Genomic DNA, 3,898 nt, shown 5'->3' on the forward strand with positions numbered 1-3,898 from the left:
TTGTATATTCTTAAGATACATATATATGTGTGTGTGTGTCTTTTAAAAAGGAACGTAAATACAATGGAATAATTAAACATTATCTCTACTTAATAAAAAATAAGTTTTTTTTGCCTCATGAAATAGTAAGACATTTTACTTTTTGTTTTTCTTTCCCAAAAACACTCCTCTGAACTGTATCAAGCCTTTAGGACATCCATCTTTTTCTTGATGTATTGGGAAAACTGAATAGGGTCAAAAGTGAAATTCAGTGTGACTTGCAGCTTTGCCCTTATAAATCATACATTACAGTGACTTCTACTGTCAGTGTAATATGAGGACATTAGTTAAATCTCCTCTGAACAAAAGTGTTTGAATATGGACTACCTAGATTTTTAATTACTGGCAACTGTAGGTTTTTAAACTTGTATGAATTCGTTTCTAGCTGTCCAAAAATGTCCATCCATTTAAACATAAATGCTTTTTTGCAGTACAGCTGTTTCTGAATCAGGTGGTTTGCATCTATGAATTCATCAAATAGGCTATCCATGTCTAAAATATCCACTTCTAATCTTTTCTCATCTTACATAACACTTTTTAGTCTTCTATGATATATCTTTCTGTTACTCAAAACCTTGAATTCTTTTAGTTCCACTAAGATGAGATTTTGAATACCGTATCTTTATTTATATTCATCGCCTAGAATAAGGGTTGGGTCAAATAGGATCCACCATTTGTTTTTGTTAAGACCTGTGATCTAAAATTGTTTGACGATCTTTGAAAAGGCCGCAGGGAGCCTAGAAAATTTGAACTGACTACAGCTATGTTTTCTGCGTTCTTGGTATGTTTTCTCAAAAACCCATTTTGTGAATAAAATCACTCATTTCTTGAAGGATTACTAGTTCAGAATTCAAAAAATTTACCCACAATGTTAAAGGAATTTCTCACCTTTTTTTTTTTTGCTAAAACTGTTGCTAATTTGGAATCCAACTTTGATTTCACAAATTCAAATTATCTCTATGATTTAAAACTATTTTCTCTGAGAATAGATGTTTTATTTATGATGACATCCAATGTGCTTCAGAATATTTTAAAATGAGGATATTTTAGACATGGATAGCCTATTTGATGAATTCATAGATGCAAACAACCTGATTCAGAAACAGCTGTACTGCAAAAAAAAAAAAAAAGCCTTTATGTTTAAATGGATGGACATTTTTGGACAGCTAGAAATGAATTCATACAAGTCTGAAAACCTGCAGTTGCCAGTAATTAAAAGTCTAGGTAATCCATGTTCAAACACTTTTGTTCAGAGATTTAACTAATGCCCTCATATTACACTGACAGTAGAAGTCAGTGTAATGTATGATTTATAAGGGCAAAGCTGCAAGTCAGATTGAATTTTACTTTTGACCCTATTCAGTTTTCCCAATGCATCAAGAAAAAGATGGATGTCCTAAAGGCTTGATACAGTTCAGAGGAGTGTTTTTGGAAAAGAAAAACAAAGAGTAAAATGTCTTACTATATCATAAGTCAAAAATAAACTTATTGTTATTTTTTGTTAAATAGAGGTGATATCTGTTTAATTATTCCATTGTATTTACGTTTCTTTTTAAAAGACATATATATGTACATATATATCTTAAGAATATACAAAAATATGTGTTACAAAATTTGATATCCAATATTGCTACTGATACTTTTACTTTGATTTTGTATCCTGAAACTTTACTGAAGGTATTTATCAAGTCCAAGTATCTTTTATAGGAATCTTTAGGGTTTTCTAGGTATAAAATTATGTCATCAGCAAATAAATAATTTGACTTCCTCTTTTCCAACTTGGATGCCTTTTATTTTTTTCTCTTACCTGATTGCTGTAGTTAGGACTTTCAGTACTATGTTGAGTAGACATGGTGAGAATGAACATCCTTGCTTGTTCCAGGTCTTAGGGGAAATGCTTCTAACTTTTCCCCATTCAGTATGATGTTGGCTGTATGTTTTTTATAGATGGCTCTTATTATTTTGAAGTATTGTTCCTTCAACGCCTAGTTTGTTGAAGGTTTTTATCAAAAGGAATGTTAGATTTTATTCAGTGCTTTTTTCTGCATCTATTGTGATGATCATGTGGTTATTGTTTTTACTTCTGTTTATTGATTTGCCTATTTTGAAGCATTCTTGCATTCCTGGAATAAAACCCACTTGATTGTGATGAATTATCTTTTTGATGTGCTGTTGAATTTGGTTTGCTAGTATTTTTTTTTGAGGATCTTTGCATTTATGTTCATCATGAATATTGACCTGCAGTTTTCTTTTTGTGTTGTGTCTTTGCCTGATTTGGACTTCAGGGTGATATTGTATTTGTAGAATGAGTTAGAGAGGAATCCCTCTTAATTGATTTTTTGGAATAGTTTCAGTAATATTGGTACAACCTCTTCTTTGTATGTCTGGTAGAATTCAGCTGTGAATCGGTCTCATCCTGGGATTTTTTTGTTCAAATATTATTCATTAGGAATTCAGTTTAGTTACTCATTATGGGCTTGTTTAGGATTTCTGTTATTTCCTGGTTCAATTCTTGGGATATTGTATGTTTCCAGGAATTTGCCCTTTTCCTCTAGGTTTCCAAGATTGTATGCATAAAGGTGTTTATGGTAGTTTCTCATGGTCTTTTGTGTATCTGTGGTATCAGTTGTAATGTCTCTTTTTTAACATTTCTATTGTACTTATTTGAATCTTTTTATCTTGGTTAATCTAGCTAGTGATCAGTCAATTTTGTTTATCCTTCAAATAACCAACTTTTCACTTTGTTGATCCTTTGTATCATTTTTGTTGGTCTCACTTGTACTTAGTTCTGCTCTGTTCTTTGTTGTTTCTTTTTTTCTGTTAGATTTGAGAGTTGTTTGTCCTTGTTTTTCTAGTTCCTAGAGGTGTTGCGGGAAGTCAGGGACCCAAACAGAGGGACCGGCTGAAGCCATGGCAGAAGAACGTGGATTGTGAAGATTTTATGGACATTTATTAGTTCTCCAAATTAATACTTTTGTAATTTCTTATGCCTGTCTTTACTGCAATCTCTAAACATAAATTGTAAAGATTTCATGGACACTTATCACTTCCCCAATCAATACCCTTGTGATTTCCTATGCCTGTCTTTGCTTTAATCTCTTAATCCTGTCAGCCGAGAAGGATGTATGTCACCTCAGGACTATGTGATAATTGCATTAACTGCACAAATTGTACAGCATGTGAGTTTGTACAATATGAAATCTGAGCACCTTGAAAAAAGAAAAGGATAACAGCAATTGTTCAGGGAATAAGAGAGATAACCTTAAACTCTGACCGCCAGTGAGCCTGGCAGAACAGAGCCATATTTCTCTTCTTTCAAAAGCAAATGGGAGAAATATCGCTGAATTCTTTTTCTCAGCATGGAAGGTCCCTGAGAAAGAGAATGCGCACCTAGGGGTAGGTCTCTGAACTGTCCCCCCCGGGGCATACCTGTCTCTTATGGTCGAGATTGCAGAAGTGAAATAAACTCCAGTCTCCCATAGCACTCCCAGGCTTATTAGGAAGGGGAAATTCCCACCTAATAAATTTTGGTCAGACCAGTTGATCTCAAAACCCTGTCTCCTGATAAGATGTTATCAATGACAATGGTGCCCGAAACTTCATTAGCAATTTTAATTTCACCTCGGTCCTGTGGTCCTGTGATTTCACCCTGCCTCCACTTGCCTTGTGATATTCTATTACCCTGTTAAGTACTTGATGTCTGTCACCCACACCTATTCGCACACTCCCTCCCCTTTTGAAAATCCCTAATAAAAACTTGCTGGTTTTTGTGGCTTGTGGGGCATCACGGATCCTACCAACATGTGATTTCTCCCCCAGATGCCCAGCTTTAAAATTTCTCTCTTTTGTACTCCGTCCC

This window comes from Homo sapiens, chromosome 3, assembly GCF_000001405.40.
Source record: "Homo sapiens chromosome 3, GRCh38.p14 Primary Assembly".
In the NCBI taxonomy this organism is placed as follows: Eukaryota; Metazoa; Chordata; class Mammalia; order Primates; family Hominidae; genus Homo; species Homo sapiens.